We start from the raw sequence: 22609 nt of genomic DNA on the forward strand, positions 1-22609 counted from the left end.
CTTGTAAAATACAGAACCATGATTTTTCTTTTAAAAGCGGGTTCAGGTTGCAGATAGAGTAGCGCAGCAGAAGTGAGCTGGGCCCATCAAAGCGGGTTGCTTGCAAAACAACATGTGCCATATCTTGTGGTCCTATATTTGTAAGTAAATCAATATATTCATTTACTACGCCAGTGGTGGTTAGTTCTGGGTAGTGGGGTTAAAAGTCATTTTTAAAATTGTATTTATCTATAAATAATCTACAGTGATCATGTATTACTTCTATACTTGAGCCAAAAAAGTTATCATCAATTTAGCTTTGAAAACCTGCAGGCATCTCTGGAGAAGCAGCCCAGGTCTGGGACTGGGGAGTGGAAAACACAGTGTTCTCTTTGGTGTTGGAAGATCATGTCCCTGGGGTGAGACCTTGATTGAAAGCTGCTAGGGGACCAGCTGCCCCAATGCCTATCACACCAGCTTGATAACACTTATCATGCTTAAGTGCTCCATCTCAGCCTTGCCATGATTGGGTTCCTTAGATCTCATTCCATTGCTTGATTTGATTGGTTCATGGAACATTTATGAACACCTGTGCCATTGGCAGGGGCTGCCCTGCATCAGAGACACTGCTACCAGTCCCCCTGAAAGCCAGGCAATACCATACTGAGTGCCAGGCAGGGCTAATGGCAAAGCAAACGTTGCTGTCTAATCTTTCTGCCGGGCCAGTCTCGTACAATGAGATGTTGCGGCTTCCTTGCTGGCAGCCACGGATCAGCCCTGGCTGACAATCAGATCCCATGGGAGCACGTGGTTGCAGAATCAGGATTCCCTTTTCCATCCCAAGGGTTCCTCTAGTAAAGGGGGCTGAGTGGAATGGCTTCTCCAAGTGCACCTGGGAGGGAGGCTGCAGCCATCATGGAATATTCCTGTCACACGCTAACCCATGAACAGAAACCAGGTGGATGTACATGGTCACATAGTCTGGCCAGGGACCAGAGCCTCCGGAGACCCAGGTTCAGGTCCCATCTGTGTCATTACTTAGTTATGTGAACCTGCACTGATCACTTAACCCCTTTGAGCTACATCACTTGCGAAAAAGTGGGGGTTATAGTATAATAATTCTTTTTTAAAATAATTCAAAGCATTCAGAAAAGCACAAATAGGCACACAAATGTAAGCACTGCTGTGTGGTGGGAGATTTGCAGATGACCTGACCAACAATGTCACCTTCCCCCTTTTCAGATCACTCACATTACCTGAGCAGAAAAACAACTAGCAGAGCACTGAAATGGTCCCAAAAGAGGGAAGAGCAAGAGGCAATCAGGTGGATCCTTTTCGAGTTATCAACAAGGTTTCCAGTCCTGTTTTCTATTGCTGATGAGAAGTTAACACACATTGAATGACTTATAACAACTCACATTGACTCACTATCTCAGTTTCTGTGGGTCAGGAATCCAGGCTCGGTTCAGCTGAGGCCTCTGTCAGTCAGGGATGTCAGCCTGGTCTGTGGTCTCATCTGAGGCTTGACTGGAGAAGGATCTGCTTCCATGCTCACACGCTTGCTGGCAGGATTCAGTTACTTGCAGATTGTCACACTGAAAGCCTGAGTTCCTTGCTGGCTGTCAGCTGGAGGCCACCCTTCGTTCCTTCCTCTTGGGCCTCTTTATAGAGCAGCTTTCTTTATCAGAGTCAGCAAGGGGAAGAGTCTATACAGAGAGTGTGCTAGCAAGACACAAGCTACAAGCCTGTATAATGTCATCACAAAACTGACATCCCATCTACTTTGCTGTATCCTGTTAGTTAGAAGCAAGTCCTGCCTACACAAAAGGGGAGGGGATTATACAGGGGTGTGACCACCAGCAGCATGAATAATTGGGGGCCATCCTACAGTCTCTCTGCCATACCCCTGAATTGGTGTCAGCAAGCATGCCAGCGTCCCTCAGGGTGCTAAAATCTCTAATGTGGAGAAACATTATCATCTTCACCAATCTGAGAGCTTCCCCTCAATGTGATCCAAATATCCATCCAGGTGGAAAGGAAGAGCCCCTTCCACACCAGCTTTCCCTTCAACTGACCACAAATGCGCCAAAGGCACGGCCTAGTCCTACCATGCTCAGGGATGTACCCTCCGCAGCTAGAGCATCCCTGCACGGTACACAGCAAGTGCACAATAAGGCATTTGAATGAATGTGTAAAGGGGCTTGCACGTTTCTGCCTGGGGAATCTTCCTTCTGCTTCCCAAATATACTTCTCCTCTGCTCAAAATTCCCATGTGGGCCCCAGACAAGCTGTGCCCCCAAAATCAGTGCCCATCCTTGGGCTCCAAGCTCCCTCCCTTCCATCTGGTGGCAGCCTTGAGTGAGGGGATTCCATCTGGTGCCCCCAGAACTTAGGCAGCATCTTCAGGACCATCAGGTTCCTCACATGAGTGCTAGGATCAACCCATACTTAAGGTGACGGATACTCCAAATACCCTGACTTCATCATTACTCTTTCTATGCATGTAACAGAATATCACATGAACCCAAAAAATATGTAAAATATTATGTATCCATAAAGAGAGAGAGGGCCAGGTGCAGTGTGGTTCACTGTAATCCCAGCACTTTGAGAAGCTGAGGCAGGAAGATCGCTTGAGCCCAGGAGTTCGAAACCAGCCTGGGCCACATAGTGAAGCCCTGTCTCTACAGAAAATACAAAAGTTAGCTCGGTGTAGTGGCTCATGCCTTTCGTCCCAGCTACTCAGAGCCTGAGGCCAGAGGACTGATTGAGCGTGGGAGGTTGAGGCTGCAGTAAGCCATGTTCATGCCACTACGCTCTACCCTGAGTGACAGAATAAGACCCTGTCTCAAAAAAAAAGAAAGGGAGAGAGAGAGAGAGAAGCTTGAGAGGAAGAGAAGGAGGCACCAGAGGACGTGAACGTGGAAAATACAAGGGCTAGTCATACTGGAGTAACATTCACAGTTAAAAAAAAGAAAAGAAAACAAAAGAAAATGGGCCCAGGATTCACATTTGGGGCACAAAGATTTCAACTAACTGGGGAGTGTGTAATGTCAATGTGTTTTCTACCAACCACCACTGTCCCTGAACTTATCCACACTGCCCACTCCTCAATACTCACCTGGAGGCACTGGGGGCAACTTGGAGCTTTTATAGAACCTGTGGCTCTCATGGCTGGACAGTCTGAGGATGCCCCAGGGGATCCGATTTCAGAACAAGACCCTGAGACAGGGCTTCCTATCTACCTGGTGACCTCCCCGCTCCCCTGTCCTCCTCCCCAGCAATTTCTGCATCAGAGTTTTCACTCTACTTTCTTCACTGAATAAAAGCTCACAAAGTGGAGGATCCATTGGGTTGGTAAGGATCCTCTTTCTTTTTTCTTTTGTCTTTTTTTTTTTGTTATTGTTGTTGTTTTGTTTGAGACGGAGTCTAGCTCTGTCACGCAGGCTGGAGTACAGAGGCAAGATCTCGTCTCATTGCAACTATGTCCTGAATTGGTTCCTTCCGGTGGGTTCTTGGTCTCACTGACTTCAAGAATGAAGCCGTGGACCCTCGCGATCAGTGTTACAGTTCTTCAAGATGGTGTGTCCGGAGTTTGTTCCTTCAGATGTTCAGATGTGTCCAGAGTTTCTTCCTTCTGGTGGGTTCGTGCTCTCACTGGCTTCAGGAGTGAAGCTGCAGACCTTCGCGGGGAGTGTAATAGCTGGTGCTTACTGGTGCATTTACAAACCCTTCAGCTAGACACAGAGTGCTGACTGGTGCATTTACAAGCCTTTAGCTAGACACACAATGTTGATTGGTGCATTTACAATCCTTTAGCTAGACACGAAAGTTCTCCAAGTCCCTAATCGACTCAGAAGCCCAGACGGCTTCACCTCTCATAACCTCTGCCTCCTGGGTTCAAGTGATTCTCCTGCCTCAGCCTACCCAGTAGCTGGGATTACAGGCGCCCACCACCATGCCCAGCTAACTTTTCTACTTTTAGTAGAGACGGGGTTTCACTATGTTGGCCAGGCTGGTCTTGAACTCCTAACCTCAGGTGATTCACCTGTCTTAGCCTCCCAAAGTACTGGGATTACAAGCGTGAGCCACGGCGCCCGGCCAAGCATCCTCTTTCTAAGTCACTCACCCATGAGTATGAATTGTTTGCCCAGATTGCTTCGCTCCATTGTAGCTGATTTCAACCCAGTTGTAAGCCTGGAGCACCTGGAGAAATCAGACCCAGGTGGGATCTCAAAGGTGGAGAGGGTGGGAAAGGAGCAAAAGAAAGAGAAGCGGTGCAGAAAGGGAGGGACACAGATTCCAAAGACATACCTGGCCTGTCTGAAGTTTGCCTCCTCCAGGAAGGGAAGGCAGCATTCTCCCGGTGCTGTCTCCCTCCTCCCCCGTGTACTGTGCACATCTCCTTCCCAGACTCAGCCCAGTTGCACCAAAAGCAAGCCACAAGGCCCATAGGCTAGTCAGACGCCCAACAACCCCACACAATGACACTTATGTGGGGAATTGTGTCCTGAGTCCCAAACGACTGACCCCCCCAATGTGCTGTGAATAAGCAGTGACCACAACCAGTACCACCTATGACTGAGTCGGGAGGCTGCTCTCTAAGAACCCCAGCTGCATGCCCTCTGGGACAAATCAGGCCACCTGGGGCTCCTTCACATCTCTCCAATGCTGTGTTAAACGCACTTTTAACCAACTTTGTCAAAATGCTCAGCTGGTAAAGTTTTAACGTAGGCCCTTGTCAATGCTTCAGAAATAAGCCTCTGGCGGCGCGACAGAGCAAAACTCCCTCAGGAAAGAAAGGAAAGAAATGGAGAAAGGGAGAAAGGGAGAAAGAGAGGAAAAGAAAGAAAGAAAGAAAGAAAGAGAGAGAGAGAGAGAAAGAGAGAAAGAGAAAGAAAGAAAAGAAAGAAAGAAAAAGAAAGAAAGGGAAAGAAAGAAGGAAAGGAAGGAAAGAAAAGAAAGGAAAGAAAGGAAAAGAAAACAAATAAGCCTCCAGGTCATTGCTTAGAAAGAAAAAGAAAAAAGAAAGAAAGAAAAGAAAGAAAAAGAAAAGAAAAGAAAATAGCCTCCCGGTCATTGCTCCTCTCTCTCTCTGCGGGTCCACCCCCATGGCACCCTCCCCCCTCCCCATGGTGCAAGGTTACAATGGAAAGTGCCTCAGCTGGAAAGGTCTCAGAATGTGGCTCAGGGCAGCCACAATCTTATCAGGAGCTTCTCTGTTTGGGATCAGGGGAACCGGTGACTTTCAGAGGCCGATAAGGCGGGACCCAACTTGTATATAAGGGGCAGCTCATGCTGCTGCTCTGCACCTTCCTCCCATCTTGCCTTCTCCCTCGAGTTGGGACCCGGGAAGAACCATGAAGTGGCTGCTGCTGCTGGGTCTGGTGGCGCTCTCTGAGTGCATCATGTACAAGTGAGTCCGGGTGGTGTGGGTGTGAAGACGCTGCCTCCCACATCACCTTTCTTTCCTCCCGTGTCTTCCTTCTTCCCTTTTTTTTCTCTCTCTCTTCAGCTGTCTCCATCCCCCTTTTCCGCCTCTCTCTCTGCCTTTTTGGGAGGCAGCCCTGCAGACATGGTTAAAACTCGGGCCCAGCCTGACTGTGGTTCCCAGCTCCAGCCCTAGTCAGCTTAACTTCTTTGCATTATGGGGCAGAAGTGGGAGCTTCTCCCTTCCTTCCATCTTCCTCTCTTAGATCAGCTGGTTAAGAGTCCAGCCTGGGTTTGGCTCCCAGCTCCAGCACTAGTCAACTTAACTTCTTTGCATTGTTGGGCAGAAGAGGGGGCGTCTCCTTTCCTTCCTTCTTCCTCTCTTAGACCAGCTTCCCTTCCCTTCTGGGGCTGCCACAGCACCCGGTCAGCAGAATCCTTGCCTAATTCCTCTTCCTTCTCCAAACCACAGGGTCCCCCTCATCAGAAAGAAGTCCTTGAGGCGCACCCTGTCCGAGCGTGGCCTGCTGAAGGACTTCCTGAAGAAGCACAACCTCAACCCAGCCAGAAAGTACTTCCCCCAGTGGGAGGCTCCCACCCTGGTAGATGAACAGCCCCTGGAGAACTACCTGGATGTGAGTGTGCGGGCAAGTGGTGGGGCCAGCTCTGAGGACTTGGCCCGCAGGAAAGAGGGTGTCCCAGGGGTCTTGGAGGACGGGCCTGGGCTCTGTGGCTCCAGGCAGTGACCCAGAGTCTGCCCCCTAGATGTCAGTGGCCCAGGGCAGGCAGGAAAGCTCACAGTCAGAGTTCATTCATTCATTCGTTCACTCGTTCATGCAATGTTAATTTCTCTGAGCGCCTCATTCTATTTCAGGGCCTGTGCTGGGCTCAGGGGGAGACAGCAGTGAGCAAACTCATAGCCTAGGAGACAAACACAGTCATCAAGGGGTCTCGCAAACCAATGAAAAGAACAGGCAGCAGGAGGACTACAGAGTGACGGTGTCACACTGCGAGAGTCTGCCACTTGGGCAGGGAGCCTCCCTGGAGCCACGCAGGAAGAGCAGGAGTTTCCAAGAGAACAAGACAGAACTCCGCATAGCCTGATCCCTTGTGCCAAACCCTGTAGCAGGCGGGAGCACAGTGCCTTTGAAGGGGAGCCGAGAGGGAGGGAAGAAGGGTGCTGCAGACTGCGGTCCGAGGAACTGAGGGGTGGACGCAGAGAGGCTCCATCCTAACTGCCTCTGATTTATCTTAAACAGGGGGATGACAAGATCAGATCTGAGTTTCAGAAAGATCACCCTGACTTTGTTATTTGAGACCCGATAGCAAACACCCTGCCCTCCTGCAGATATTGTATGTCCCCTCTGTGACTGGCACAGGGCACAAAGCAGTGATGCCTGTGGTTCAGAGACTGGCCTCTGCCATCCAGCAGACCTGGTGCAAATATGGGTCCTAGTGCCTCTAAGCCACAGGACCTTGGCCAAGTCATTTAAATACTCTGAGCCTGTGTCTTGGTCTGGAAAACAGAACCACTAATATCTACCGTCAGAGGATGTTGCCAGGAATTAACACGATCATGTTTTCTGGAGTGCTTAGCATGGGGTCTGCCAGGCCCTTGGTAAGAGGCTTAATTAGCGCATTTATTTAGTTCACAAATATTTAACAAATATTGGCACCTCTCTATGTGCCAGAGGCTATGCAAGTTGCCAAAATGATGGTGAATAATCAAAGTTCCTGGAGCTTATACTCTAAAGGGGATAACAAATAAACAACCATGTAAGATAATTTCAGGTAATGATAAGGGCCTTGGCAAATTAATTAATGGGAGCATGGGGAACAAGAAGATTGAGAGGGGGCAAATTTAGATAAAGTGGTCACGGAAGGCCTGTTGGCAGAGGGGACATTTGACTAGAGAGCTGAATGATTGATTTTTGATAAAAGGATCAGCCAAGGAAAGATCTAGAATAAACATTTTCCTAGCACAAGGAATAGCCAGTGCAAAGGCCCTAGGGCAGGAGTGACTGGTCATCGCCAAAGAACAGCAAGCAGACCAGTGTGGCGGGAACAGAGCCGGCAGGGGGAAAATGCTGCCACTAACAAGAAAAATACTGGTTGATTGGCGGAGGCGGGTGGATCACTTGAGGTCAGGAGTTCGAGACCAGCCCGGCAACATGGTGAAACCCCGTCTCTACTAAAAATACAAAAATTTGCCGGGCATGATGGCACACACCTGTAATCTCAGCTACTTGGGAGGTTGAGGCAGGAGAATCACTGGAACCCAGGAGGAGGAGGCTGCAGTGAGCCGAGGTCGCGCCACTGCACTCCCGCCTGGACAACAGAGTGAGACTTGTCTCAAAAAAAAAGAATAAAAATACTGTCAATGCCCTTTCTTGCAACCTGCTATACACATCTAGATGTAGAAATAAGAAAACTGGACAGGTTTCCATCTTTAAGTGGCTTGCTTAGCTTCTGATAAACAATTTAAGGCACAAGCACTTAAGCTGTAACTTGCCCGGTGCTAGAAGGTTCCACCGCCATCCTCTGAGAACATGCGCTGTACGGATGGGAAGACTGTGACAGACAAGACAATGGCTAAAGAGGGAACAGCAGATTGTTAGGTGCTTGTGGTGCTTAACAGAGAGCAGAGGGTAAATTGGGGGAGCAATCAGGGAAGACTTCAAGGAGGAAGGGACGCCAGGGCTGGGATTTGAAGGATGAAGACAGTGGCTGGGAAGAGAAAGATAAGAACTGTGAGGAATGAAGGAAAAGATGGAGAGGCAGACTGAGGAGATGACCCAGAGACAGCCCCTAGGGAGGCCCTGACAGAGAGACCCCGTTCCGTGAACTGCCCTGTCCTCGCCTGGACAGATGGAGTACTTCGGCACTATCGGCATCGGAACTCCTGCCCAGGATTTCACCGTCGTCTTTGACACCGGCTCCTCCAACCTGTGGGTGCCCTCAGTCTACTGCTCCAGTCTTGCCTGCAGTAAGTGCCCAGACCGCCCTACCCCACTCTCACTCCCCAGCACCAGCCGACCCTGGGGAACCCTGGACACCCACGGGCTTCAAACAGTTCCCACCTCAAGCCTGCTGGAGCCACTCAACAGGCATTTATTGAGCACCTACTACGTGCCAAGCACTGGGCTCAGGTGCTCCAGGGGGTAAAGGGATGAGTGATATGATCCCTGCGGTCAAAGACTACACAGTCTGAGGGCAGAGAGAAGCTCTCCTCAATAACCACAGGCTGGGAGAGGAAGTATGGGGGGCCCAAAGCAAGACAGGGCCAAAGGGCTGTAGAATAGCCCACCAGGAAAGAGTCCAGTGTGAGAAAATGGCTTCAAAGCCTGGCTAGGACAGGCTAGAGGTCAGTGCTGAGCTCATTTAAAAAAAAAAAAAGAATCATTGGTTTGCTAATGAAAGAGAGTTTGTCTTTGGAAGTCATGAACAATGTGTGTTGCAGGTTCCTTCCTCTTCTAGTGTTTTCACTGGAGTTTTAATGAAGATGAGGTGCCTGTGGCATCATCCACATCATAACGGGAGCACTGGCTGGGGGCTAGAGGGTGAAAGCGCTCGTCACTGGGTAGCCACGGGCCTGCTCCGCTCTATGTTGGTCTGGGGAGGTCTCCAGGAGGCCCTTGGGGTTGGCTGGGGAAACTGCCACCAGTGAATGGTCCCAGTAGTTCAACGAGACAGGACAGAACCTGGGGTCTCTTGGGCTCCAAGGGTCTAGGGCGAAAGGTCGCTGCTCACCTCCAGAGCCCGTCCCAGGGCCAGGGCACCCCATCCCAGGAAGACATCCAGCCCATGACCTTCACCCAGCTCTCAGAGAATAACACTCACCGCTTGTCCTTGCAGCCAACCACAACCGCTTCAACCCTGAGGATTCTTCCACCTACCAGTCCACCAGCGAGACAGTCTCCATCACCTACGGCACCGGCAGCATGACAGGCATCCTCGGATACGACACTGTCCAGGTGGGCACCTGCAGGCTGCCGCTGCATCCCCCCATCAGGCACCCCCAAAATAAGCTTATTCCAGCAAGATGAGTCTTGGTGATCACAGAAGTAACCTGATTGGGGGTGCGGGGTGGGGGAGAAGCAGCAGAGATGTCACAGACATTGCTAGCTCGGGTGGCAGTGAGTAAAAGGGTGGGGTGCCAGGAGCCATAACCCAGACTCAGCTCCACCCAAGCAGAATGTTATGGAGTGTGGGGAGAGTCAGTAAAGGCTCACTTCTCTACTAGCACCTCCTCCTCTTCCTTCTTCTCCCGACATGCAGCACCCCAAGTCACGAAATCTCCACAAGCCCTCCCTGCCACTTTCGGGGCATGGCAGGGGTCAAAGGCCTGGGGTCTGGGGTCTGCTTTGCGTTTGTTCATCAGAAACACAAACACACAGTGACCATCTGTTCTCCAGCAAAATCTCACCCTGAGTCATAGACTGTAGCCATCTGGAGATCAGCTGCCATGGTTACCTCCAGCAGAGGAACCAGCATTCCAGCAGACAGTCCCTCTGCCCTCCTCCCGGGCTGATACCCTGGAAGCCAAGTCCTGCATGAGATGAACCAGGGTGGCTCTGGGCCTGAGGCTGGCATCCAGAGCTCAGTGAACATGACCCGATGGTGAACATCATCTCGGTTTCCCCACCCAGGTTGGAGGCATCTCTGACACCAATCAGATCTTCGGCCTGAGCGAGACGGAACCTGGCTCCTTCCTGTATTATGCTCCCTTCGATGGCATCCTGGGGCTGGCCTACCCCAGCATTTCCTCCTCCGGGGCCACACCCGTCTTTGACAACATCTGGAACCAGGGCCTGGTTTCTCAGGACCTCTTCTCTGTCTACCTCAGCGCGTAAGTTGAGTGGAGAGGGGCCTCCTCCCACCTCCCCCTCCAGAGGTCACAGTGTTCCTGCCCAGCAGGAGCTGTCCAAGGCTGGGTGCGATGGAGAGGGTCTTGGGAAGCAAGGGATTTGAAAGTCAATGTCTGAGGCTGGAGAAGTGTGTCTTTGGAGAGTAATAGTGCCAAGTCTGTCTCTGACGGGCCATGTGCACTCCATCTTATTTTACCAGCATCTTTGTCCCCTTGATGTGCACAACTCAAATGTCATCAGCCATTTCCCCCTCAGTACCACTTCCCTCATCCTTGGCCCGCAAAGATGCCATTTAAAGTGAATACACTTGGCCAGGTGTGGTGGCTCATGCCTGTAATCCCAGCACTTTGGGAGTCTGAGGCAGCAGGATCACCTGAAGTCAGGAATTCAAGACTGGGTTTCATGGTGATAGCCAGGATGGTCTCGATCACCTGACTGCCTCAGCCTCCCAAAGTGCTGGGATTACAGGCGTGAGCCACCGTGCCCGGCCCTGGATGACTAATTTCTTCTTGCTGTCTACATTTGCTTCCTCATCTAACCTGAAACTGCAGAAATTTAGAACATGAATATTGCAATAACAAGGACTCCTGCAATTTACCACAGGAAGGCTCTTTGTCATGTATTCTTCTTGGCCAGTTAATGTTCAAGGTGGCTCTGAAACATCATCTGCCTTTATGAGCACTTAAATATTTCATGTGGGGCCATTGCATCTCCCCAGCCAGATCCGAGTTTCTCAATCTGGGCACTATTAACATTTCAGACCAACATAAGAGCTTGCCGCCAGGGACTGTCCCGTGCATTGTAGGATGTTTGGCAGCATCCCCAGCCTCTACCCATGAGATGCCGGCAGCATCCCCTACCCCCACCCAATCATGACAATCCAAAATGTCTCCAGACATTCCCCTGGGGGCAAAACTGCTCCCAGCTAAGAACCAGTGACCTCCACCCTCAAGTCCTTAAGAGCGGACACTGTCATGCATTCACTTCCCTGGGGTCCCCATGGCAACCAGAGTGGGTACCACCATGGAAACCACAGACTCAACCTAAAAGGCCTGTGTTCTTCCAAACGTAGTTCCACCACTCCCCCGCTGTATGACCTTGGGCAGGTGGCCTCACCTCCCTCAGGCTCAGTGTCCTCATGGTAAGTGGAAATAACAGTGACAGTGCCCACTGCATAGGCACTGGCCTAAGAGGAAAAGAAACCACATTAGTCACACCGCAGGACAGCCCTAGAAAGTGCCCAATCAAGGGTAGCCCTGAGGAGGCAACAGCAGATGGTCACACAAATGGACGAACAAAAAAATTCATGTCTTCTCCCCTCACTTTCCACAGCGATGACCAGAGTGGCAGCGTGGTGATCTTTGGTGGCATTGACTCTTCTTACTACACTGGAAGTCTGAACTGGGTGCCTGTTACCGTCGAGGGTTACTGGCAGATCACCGTGGACAGGTGAGACTGCCATGAACGGGCAGCATCCAGGCCTGGGCCCCAGATCCCATTTCCTTATGGATTCATAGCCAATCAGCTTTCCAGAATCCCCCCAGGAACAGCTGGCACAGGGGAACACACTCCAGGGGGAAGGTGGAAGTTGGCCAAGCCAGAGACCCCTAGAAAGACACCTCCCTGCAGGAGGAGGGAAGAGCTGTCTAGGAAGCCAAGACTCTGCAAGGGTGAGATAGCCACTGTCCTCCTAGTCACGGAGGCAGGACCATCCACCAGCATCCCTGGGGAGAGCTGGGGGACCCACCTGTCCACGCATCTGACAATTTAAGGGGCCGGTGAACCAGCACACGCTCCTGCCACTCGAGGAAACATGTCACTTTCCGTCTAGAAGTGGGGCAAAATGGCTAAGAAATTGTGTGAAGTCACTTCATTCCACCCTCCCCTTCAGGGCCTCCCCGGTCTCCCTTGCAGCTTCATTTCCACGCTCTTCTTCCCCAGCTAGCCTGCTAGCGTGCTCAGTGGTGTGGGTTTTCCCAAGAATGAACAATTTCCCAGGACAGAGACTTTCAGTACTAAAACTGGGACCAGCCCAGGCAAACCAGGACACATGGATCACCTCATGTCTGCCCAGCCATGCTAGAATTTCACCAGTTCCTCCAACACCTGCCCCAGCCCTCTGGTCTCTGTACCTCCCCGCATACCATCCCCTGATGATGTCCTCCTTCTCTCTTCACCTGCCTGGCATTCCAGGGTGTCTGTTCCCCTGGCTGCTCCCCTCCACCACCTCTCACCCTGGACCCTGTTTTTGTTCCCTGCCTCATGCCTGACTGATCATCTTGCCCTTCTGCCAACATAACTTATCTTGCCAGCTAGGCAGGGAGCTCCCTGCAGCCTGGAACTGTGAGGCTGTCTTGTTTCACTTGGCATTTCCCATGCCTGGCAGAGAGTAGGCACTTGGGAAATATTTGTTGGGCAAATGAATGCGGGACGAATGAGTGCGTGAACGAGAGGAACAGAAATTTCACGCATTGGCCAATGGATGGGTGGGGAAGAAATGTCTGGGCTCACCTCCTAGTTCCTCCTTGGAGAGAAGTACCCCTGAGAGCTCAGGGAGCTTAACTTGCTTCTTGCCCTCAGCATCACCATGAACGGAGAGGCCATCGCCTGCGCTGAGGGCTGCCAGGCCATTGTTGACACCGGCACCTCTCTGCTGACCGGCCCAACCAGCCCCATTGCCAACATCCAGAGCGACATCGGAGCCAGCGAGAACTCAGATGGCGACGTGAGTCCAGCCCCGACTGCTCTGTTCTACACTCAAGTAGTGGGTGTGCCAGGCAGAAGGGACAGAAACCCTTCTAACTTTTCTCACCCTCACTCTTTCCAGATGGTGGTCAGCTGCTCAGCCATCAGCAGCCTGCCCGACATCGTCTTCACCATCAATGGAGTCCAGTACCCCGTGCCACCCAGTGCCTACATCCTGCAGGTGAGGAGGCTCTGGACCATCCACTAGAGGGGTTCACACAGAATGTGGACACAGAGTTCCCCTCTGCAGACGGAAAGTACACTTCCACGAGCTGAAGCCAGCAGGCAGAGGCAGACGAACATCTGCCCTAGACAGCCTCCAGAGAAAAAGAATATATTAAAAACAAATGCAGGAATAAGAACTCGGATACAGCCCCCTAAGGGAACAAGTGAAGCAAAGGTTAATGGAGTGAAAAGAGGATTCTATTTGGACCCCTGGGTCCAAGTCCTGGGTCTGAATTACTAGCCCATTGATTCTGAGCAAGCTACAGCTCATCTCACCCTCAGTTTTCTCATCCAAAAAGTAGAGATGGCAGCTTTCCCCACCCTCAGAGTGCGGTTAGGTCAACCAAGTGAGACTGATCACATCAGAGCTACCAAGGGTTGGGCAAATGGAAATCCTAATTTCCATAGGCTGGGGCTTCTGACACTTCTACCATCTCTACCAAGTAGCAAATCTTTAGCTATACGAGCCACAAGAAAACTCTTTCCCTTCTGTTATCATAACGTCAGGTGGAAAACTAATTTTGCCAGTGGACTCATGTTACTCAACAAGAAGCACTGATGCCTGGGCTCCCCCACTGATTCTGATTACATTAGGAGAGGGCAAGGCCTGAGCAATGGGATGGGGCTGCGGGGGTTCAAAGCTCCCCAGGTGATGTGCAGACAAGGTCGCAGCCCAGTGACTTAGTGAGGCAAGAGGGCTAATAGCTCATCTGGTTTGCCTCTGACCGGATCAGAATAATAATGAGAAAAGGCTATGGCGGCAGGGTTTTCAAACTCCTTCCTAGCAGCTGAATTCTCCCTAAGCCCCTTAGCACCAATGCTGATGTCAGGGTTCGTGTGCCTGCCAGAAACACCAGATAATGTCCAGTAATGCGTAGAAACCAGTCGTTCAGTGGACGGCTTCTACAGGCCGACTCCAGGCCAAGAACAGCCGAGTCCCTGGACACTGAGCCAGGAAGCTCCTCCTTGCACGTGCCTTACAGCTGGACCAGGGCGCCCTGGATGTTTATCACCCAGCGCCTATCACGGCTGAATCGGTGTCCCAGCTCCACTTTTATTCTCCTTTTCTCCAGAGCGAGGGGAGCTGCATCAGTGGCTTCCAGGGCATGAACCTCCCCACCGAATCTGGAGAGCTTTGGATCCTGGGTGATGTCTTCATCCGCCAGTACTTTACCGTCTTCGACAGGGCAAACAACCAGGTCGGCCTGGCCCCCGTGGCTTAAGCCTAAGTCTCTTCAGCCACCTCCCAGGAAGATCTGGCCTCTGTCCTGTGCCCACTTTAGATGTATCTAATTCTCCTGACTGTTCTTCCCAGGGGAGTGTGGAGGTCTTGGCCCTGTTCCCTGTCCTACCAATAACGTAGAATAAAAACATAACCCACTGAAACAGGTTTTGTGGAGCTGCTTCTCTTTGCTGGTCTTTTTCCTTCACATTACTGGGGTTAGAACGCCAGGGCAGGGATGAAAATGACCACATCCATTTGGATGGCACCCAACATAGTGACCCCAGCAGCTGACACTTCATGATGGAGCCAAGAAGACAGAGAGGCTTCGGGGGTTGTGCTGGAAGCATCATAAAAAGACCTGGGGGTCAAAATACTGGGCTAATTGTCTTCTCATAGAAGGGACACAGAGCTGAGATCGTGCCATTGTACTCCAGCCTGGGCGACACAGAGAGACTCCAGCTCAGAAAGAAAAAAATAGGTCACTGAAGCTCTTAGTTGAGGGAGTCAACCTCCTACTTCTCCCAAAGCCAATAAGAGATCATGAGAAGGCTGGGCACAGTGGCTCACGCCTGTAATCCCAGCACTTTGGGAGGCTGAGGCGGACAGGTCACCTGAGGTCAGGAGTTTGAGACCAGCCTGGCCAACATGGTGAAACCCTGTCTAATAAATTTACAAAAATGAGCTGGGTGTGGTGGTGCGCACCTATAATCCCAGCTACTCAGGAGGCTGAGCCAAGAGATCGCTTGAACCTGGAAGGCGGAGGTTGCAGTGAGCTGAGATCGCACCACTGCACTCCAGCCTGGGCGACAGAGCGAGACTCCATCTCAAAAAAAAACAAAAAAAGAAAAGAGATCATGAGGAAAGGAAAGCAATCAGGAGAGTCACGAGAGGTAGACACTAATGGTGATGTCCCTAAGTAGATAGGACAGGGCAGAGTTGTCTGCAAGACGTGGACAGGAGAAGTGGAAGAAGCTGACACCCCACAGTCTTCCAGGATGCCCTTGTGATTCACTGGCTACCAAGACCAAGACTAACAGTTAATCTCCCCAAGGTCCTAGGCAGAAAACACTGAACCCATCTCTTTCCCCATCTGTAACCAAAGAGAAAGGTCTTCCACTTCCCTGAGCAGAGGTTGTGAGACAGAGAATTAAGCATGTTCATTAGCATATATGCCCTAGAAAGGCAAAGAGGAAATGGAGCAGTTTCTCAGACTGGGCTTGGTAGCAAAATGTTCAATGGAAAACACAGTTTCAGAATAAGTATAGAACATGCTACATTCTAGGCCCTTCCCCAGGGTTCACCAGCTACAGTTCCCAATCAAAGGCTCTGACAAGCCCTGCTGCAAAGTGATCTGTTTCTTTTTAACTCAGCTGAGCTTCATCTCAGACTCTCTCTTGCTAGTAAGTCTATTACAGCCCTGGGCTCCCCGGCATGCATGCTGGGAAAATTCCCATAGCTCCTGCTTCTGGTGACAGCCGACCCAGGCTTTCTGCTGAAGACACAAGCCCAGAGGCTGGAGCTGGGCTCTAGGAAGGGCGGGGGTGAGCTCCAACACCCAGTCTCCCCAGGGTCACTCTCACCCTCCCAAGCCCATTTTCCATAGCTGAATAAACTTTAGGAAACATAAATTTCATCTCATCCCTTCCTTGCTTTAAACTCTTAATGCCTTCTTGCCATTGCCGTTGGAATAAAACAGCAAATCTTTGGCATAGTCCCACGTCCTGTGTGCTCCTTTCCCTCCAAACCTTCCCTGCTTCACTCTGATCCCGTTACCCCGAGCTCCCTCCACCCTGGCCTCCCACGGCCACAATAGCCCAAGTGTTTTCCCACCTCCAGACTTTGCACATGCTGTTCCCTTTGCCAGGGTTGCTTTTCCCTCTTTCTTGACTAGCTAACACCTAGCATCTGCAGACGTGGCTTAAATGTCACTTCTCAGCCAGGCTTGGTGGCTCACGCCTATAATCCCAGCACTTTGGGAGGCCGAGGTGGGCAGATTAACTGAGGTCAGGAATTTGAGACCAGCCTGGCCAACATGGTGAAACCCCATATCCACTAAAAATATACAAAAAATTAGCTGGGTGTGGTGGTGGGCACCTGTAGTCCCAGCTATTTAGGAGGCTGAGGCAGGAGAATCGCTTTAACCCAGGAGGTGGATGTTGCAGTGAGCCGAGATTGCACCACTGGACTCCAGCCTGGGCAACAAGAGCAAAACTCCGTCTCAAAAAAAAAAAAAATGTCACTTCCCTGTAAAAGTGATCAGCCCTCCCTCACCACTCTCTCAGAGAGCCTGGGCCTACATTTTCCCTCATGGTACTTGGCACTACCTATAACCATGCATTTCAGTGTTTAAGATTCACAAGGACAGGGATGGTGATGGTTTTAATTAGGTTTGAAGCCCAAGCAGCAAGAGCCGGGCTTGGCACATACTAGGAGGTCAATAAATATTTGCTGAATGAGTGATTAGAGAAGACTTTTTGAAAGGAACCATCTCAGATAGGATGAGAGTATGAGAGTGGGGATATGGTTTGACAAAGGCCATGTGAATAACAACAGGTGGGTCAGCTCCCACCCCCACCAACATTCCATCCCCGTCATATTCTGTCATGGGATAAGCAGGTGGATTTCTCAAGTTTCTGGGAAGGAATTTCACCCTGTCCTGGCTTCTTTGCTGGATTTATTTTTCTGATATTTCCCATGTACCTACTTTGAAGCTAGGCAGTGTGCTAGGCTCCGGGGATATAGGAAGGCAGGTCTTCCTGGATCCTATCTGTTCTCCTGCACCTGATCCCAGCCTTCCTTCCTCCCCCATCTCAACACCAGCAGCTGCAGCTCAGCCTCTCTCGCCCAGCACCTCTTCCATTCCCACCCTGGGATTCCTGAACCCTGTCACAATCTAAAGACGTTCCTCATCAGACAGATCATTTGACCAGAAAGCCCTGTGCCAACATATCTGATTTCATCCTCCTCATGTTGCTGCACAACAGAAGATGAATTCACAATCCTTTCCTGCAGTCTCAGGCCTCTGCTCCATGCATCCTCCTCGAAGGGCCCTGGGGTCGAAGCACAGCTCCTTCCATCCTTTTCATTCACACTCATCCAGGAGTGTTATTTTAATCTCACAGGTCTCCTGCCCCATCCATCCTCACCTGTCCCAAATGATCACTCCACACGCTGCTGGTGGGAGTGTAAACTGGCACCACCCTAAGAAGCATGATGTGGCTGTATCTATCAAAATTAAAAATGCATATGCCGGCCAGGCACGGTGGCTCACATAATCCTCACGCCTGTAATCCCAGCACTTTGGGAGGCCGAAGCAGGTGGATCACCTGAGGTGAGGAGTTTGAGACCAGCCAGGCCAACATGGTGGAACCTCATCTCCACAAAAAATACAAAATGAGCCGGGCGTGTTGACACATGTCTGTAATTCCCAGCTACTTGGGAGGCTGAGCCAGGAGAATCTCTCGAACCCGGGAGGTGGAGGTTGCAGTGAGCCGAGATGGCACCATTGCACTTCAGCCTGGGCGACACAGCGAGATTCTGTCTCCAAAAAAAAAACAAAGGAATGATAAATGTTCAAGATGATAAATATGCTAATTACTCTGATCTGATCACTAAACATTATATGTACAGAAACATCCTTATGTACCCATAAATATGTACAATTATTACATGTCAATTAAAAAGAAAACAGCCAGGCACAGTAGCTCATGGTGTAACCCCAGCACTTGGGAAGGCCAAGGCGGCAGGACTGCTTCGGGCCATAGTTCAAGACCAGCCTGAGCAACATACCAAGACTTCATTTCTATTGTTTTTAATAAATAAATAAAAGGAAAAGAAAGAAGATGTGTATACAAGAGAACATTCATAGAGCACTGTTCCTAAGAACTCCACACTGGAAGCTACCCAAATGCCTATGAACTGAAAAAGAGAAAATAGCGGGTATATTGATGCAGAGGAATAATACACAGCAATGAAAATGACTGAGTAACAACTCCACACACCGCCATTCGTGGATGCCTCTCCTAAACATGATTTTGAGCAAAGAAGCGCAATGCAAACTAAAGTGCTTGTTATGTGGTACTGCTTAGCAAAAGTACAAAAACAGGTGAAATGAATCTTTGCTGTTTGGAAATCAGAGTAGTGATACGCTTGGTTTGGCCCTAGGATAGTGACTGGGAAGAGCCTGGGGTGGGCTCCAGGGGTACCTGACATGCTCTTTTGCTGGGTCTGGGTTGTGGTTACACGTGTGTGCTTGGTTTGTGAAAATTCATCAAGCTGTTTCTTATGATATGCACCTTTCTGTGTGCATATCATATTTTGAGAAAAGTTTTAAAATGATCATGTAGATTTATAAAAATCACTTGTAAAATACAGAACCATGATTTTTCTTTTAAAAGCGGGTTCAGGTTGCAGATAGAGTAGCGCAGCAGAAGTGAGCTGGGCCCATCAAAGCGGGTTGCTTGCAAAACAACATGTGCCATATCTTGTGGTCCTATATTTGTAAGTAAATCAATATATTCATTTACTACGCCAGTGGTGGTTAGTTCTGGGTAGTGGGGTTAAAAGTCATTTTTAAAATTGTATTTATCTATAAATAATCTACAGTGATCATGTATTACTTCTATACTTGAGCCAAAAAAGTTATCATCAATTTAGCTTTGAAAACCTGCAGGCATCTCTGGAGAAGCAGCCCAGGTCTGGGACTGGGGAGTGGAAAACACAGTGTTCTCTTTGGTGTTGGAAGATCATGTCCCTGGGGTGAGACCTTGATTGAAAGCTGCTAGGGGACCAGCTGCCCCAATGCCTATCACACCAGCTTGATAACACTTATCATGCTTAAGTGCTCCATCTCAGCCTTGCCATGATTGGGTTCCTTAGATCTCATTCCATTGCTTGATTTGATTGGTTCATGGAACATTTATGAACACCTGTGCCATTGGCAGGGGCTGCCCTGCATCAGAGACACTGCTACCAGTCCCCCTGAAAGCCAGGCAATACCATACTGAGTGCCAGGCAGGGCTAATGGCAAAGCAAACGTTGCTGTCTAATCTTTCTGCCGGGCCAGTCTCGTACAATGAGATGTTGCGGCTTCCTTGCTGGCAGCCACGGATCAGCCCTGGCTGACAATCAGATCCCATGGGAGCACGTGGTTGCAGAATCAGGATTCCCTTTTCCATCCCAAGGGTTCCTCTAGTAAAGGGGGCTGAGTGGAATGGCTTCTCCAAGTGCACCTGGGAGGGAGGCTGCAGCCATCATGGAATATTCCTGTCACACGCTAACCCATGAACAGAAACCAGGTGGATGTACATGGTCACATAGTCTGGCCAGGGACCAGAGCCTCCGGAGACCCAGGTTCAGGTCCCATCTGTGTCATTACTTAGTTATGTGAACCTGCACTGATCACTTAACCCCTTTGAGCTACATCACTTGCGAAAAAGTGGGGGTTATAGTATAATAATTCTTTTTTAAAATAATTCAAAGCATTCAGAAAAGCACAAATAGGCACACAAATGTAAGCACTGCTGTGTGGTGGGAGATTTGCAGATGACCTGACCAACAATGTCACCTTCCCCCTTTTCAGATCACTCACATTACCTGAGCAGAAAAACAACTAGCAGAGCACTGAAATGGTCCCAAAAGAGGGAAGAGCAAGAGGCAATCAGGTGGATCCTTTTCGAGTTATCAACAAGGTTTCCAGTCCTGTTTTCTATTGCTGATGAGAAGTTAACACACATTGAATGACTTATAACAACTCACATTGACTCACTATCTCAGTTTCTGTGGGTCAGGAATCCAGGCTCGGTTCAGCTGAGGCCTCTGTCAGTCAGGGATGTCAGCCTGGTCTGTGGTCTCATCTGAGGCTTGACTGGAGAAGGATCTGCTTCCATGCTCACACGCTTGCTGGCAGGATTCAGTTACTTGCAGATTGTCACACTGAAAGCCTGAGTTCCTTGCTGGCTGTCAGCTGGAGGCCACCCTTCGTTCCTTCCTCTTGGGCCTCTTTATAGAGCAGCTTTCTTTATCAGAGTCAGCAAGGGGAAGAGTCTATACAGAGAGTGTGCTAGCAAGACACAAGCTACAAGCCTGTATAATGTCATCACAAAACTGACATCCCATCTACTTTGCTGTATCCTGTTAGTTAGAAGCAAGTCCTGCCTACACAAAAGGGGAGGGGATTATACAGGGGTGTGACCACCAGCAGCATGAATAATTGGGGGCCATCCTACAGTCTCTCTGCCATACCCCTGAATTGGTGTCAGCAAGCATGCCAGCGTCCCTCAGGGTGCTAAAATCTCTAATGTGGAGAAACATTATCATCTTCACCAATCTGAGAGCTTCCCCTCAATGTGATCCAAATATCCATCCAGGTGGAAAGGAAGAGCCCCTTCCACACCAGCTTTCCCTTCAACTGACCACAAATGCGCCAAAGGCACGGCCTAGTCCTACCATGCTCAGGGATGTACCCTCCGGAGCTAGAGCATCCCTGCACGGTACACAGCAAGTGCACAATAAGGCATTTGAATGAATGTGTAAAGGGGCTTGCACGTTTCTGCCTGGGGAATCTTCCTTCTGCTTCCCAAATATACTTCTCTGCTCAAAATTCCCATGTGGGCCCCAGACAAACTGTGCCCCCAAAATCAGTGCCCATCCTTGGGCTCTAAGCTCCCTCCCTTCCATCTGGTGGCAGCCTTGAGTGAGGGGATTCCATCTGGTGCCCCCAGAACTTAGGCAGCATCTTCAGGACCATCAGGTTCCTCACATGAGTGCTAGGATCAACCCATACTTAAGGTGACGGATACTCCAAATACCCTGACTTCATCATTACTCTTTCTATGCATGTAACAGAATATCACATGAACCCAAAAAATATGTAAAATATTATGTATCCATAAAGAGAGAGAGGGCCAGGTGCAGTGTGGTTCACTGTAATCCCAGCACTTTGAGAAGCTGAGGCAGGAAGATCGCTTGAGCCCAGGAGTTCGAAACCAGCCTGGGCCACATAGTGAAGCCCTGTCTCTACAGAAAATACAAAAGTTAGCTGGGTGTAGTGGCTCATGCCTTTCGTCCCAGCTACTCAGAGCCTGAGGCCAGAGGACTGATTGAGCGTGGGAGGTTGAGGCTGCAGTAAGCCATGTTCATGCCACTACGCTCTACCCTGAGTGACAGAATAAGACCCTGTCTCAAAAAAAAAGAAAGGGAGAGAGAGAGAGAGAAGCTTGAGAGGAAGAGAAGGAGGCACCAGAGGACGTGAACGTGGAAAATACAAGGGCTAGTCATACTGGAGTAACATTCACAGTTAAAAAAAAGAAAAGAAAACAAAAGAAAATGGGCCCAGGATTCACATTTGGGGCACAAAGATTTCAACTAACTGGGGAGTGTGTAATGTCAATGTGTTTTCTACCAACCACCACTGTCCCTGAACTTATCCACACTGCCCACTCCTCAATACTCACCTGGAGGCACTGGGGGCAACTTGGAGCTTTTATAGAACCTGTGGCTCTCATGGCTGGACAGTCTGAGGATGCCCCAGGGGATCCGATTTCAGAACAAGACCCTGAGACAGGGCTTCCTATCTACCTGGTGACCTCCCCGCTCCCCTGTCCTCCTCCCCAGCAATTTCTGCATCAGAGTTTTCACTCTACTTTCTTCACTGAATAAAAGCTCACAAAGTGGAGGATCCATTGGGTTGGTAAGGATCCTCTTTCTTTTTTCTTTTGTCTTTTTTTTTTTGTTATTGTTGTTGTTTTGTTTGAGACGGAGTCTAGCTCTGTCACGCAGGCTGGAGTACAGAGGCAAGATCTCGTCTCATTGCAACTATGTCCTGAATTGGTTCCTTCCGGTGGGTTCTTGGTCTCACTGACTTCAAGAATGAAGCCGTGGACCCTCGCGATCAGTGTTACAGTTCTTCAAGATGGTGTGTCCGGAGTTTGTTCCTTCAGATGTTCAGATGTGTCCAGAGTTTCTTCCTTCTGGTGGGTTCGTGCTCTCACTGGCTTCAGGAGTGAAGCTGCAGACCTTCGCGGGGAGTGTAATAGCTGGTGCTTACTGGTGCATTTACAAACCCTTCAGCTAGACACAGAGTGCTGACTGGTGCATTTACAAGCCTTTAGCTAGACACACAATGTTGATTGGTGCATTT

The 22609-nt window shown here is 50.0% G+C and overlaps 1 protein-coding gene across 1 annotated transcript; it reads left to right on the forward strand.

The window, feature by feature from the left end:
• Positions 1-5282: 5282 nt before the first annotated feature.
• Positions 5283-14630, forward strand: PGA4 (pepsinogen A4). The gene is made up of 9 exons (NM_001079808.6): positions 5283-5392; positions 5879-6041; positions 8275-8392; positions 9262-9380; positions 10056-10255; positions 11607-11723; positions 12855-12999; positions 13102-13200; positions 14318-14630. The coding sequence occupies exons 1-9, from the start codon at positions 5337-5339 to the stop codon at positions 14465-14467; spliced, it is 1167 nt and encodes a 388-aa protein (NP_001073276.1). The 5' UTR covers positions 5283-5336; the 3' UTR covers positions 14468-14630.
• Positions 14631-22609: the final 7979 nt, after the last annotated feature.

This window comes from Homo sapiens, chromosome 11 (genome assembly GCF_000001405.40).
Source record: "Homo sapiens chromosome 11, GRCh38.p14 Primary Assembly".
NCBI lineage: Eukaryota > Metazoa > Chordata > Mammalia > Primates > Hominidae > Homo > Homo sapiens.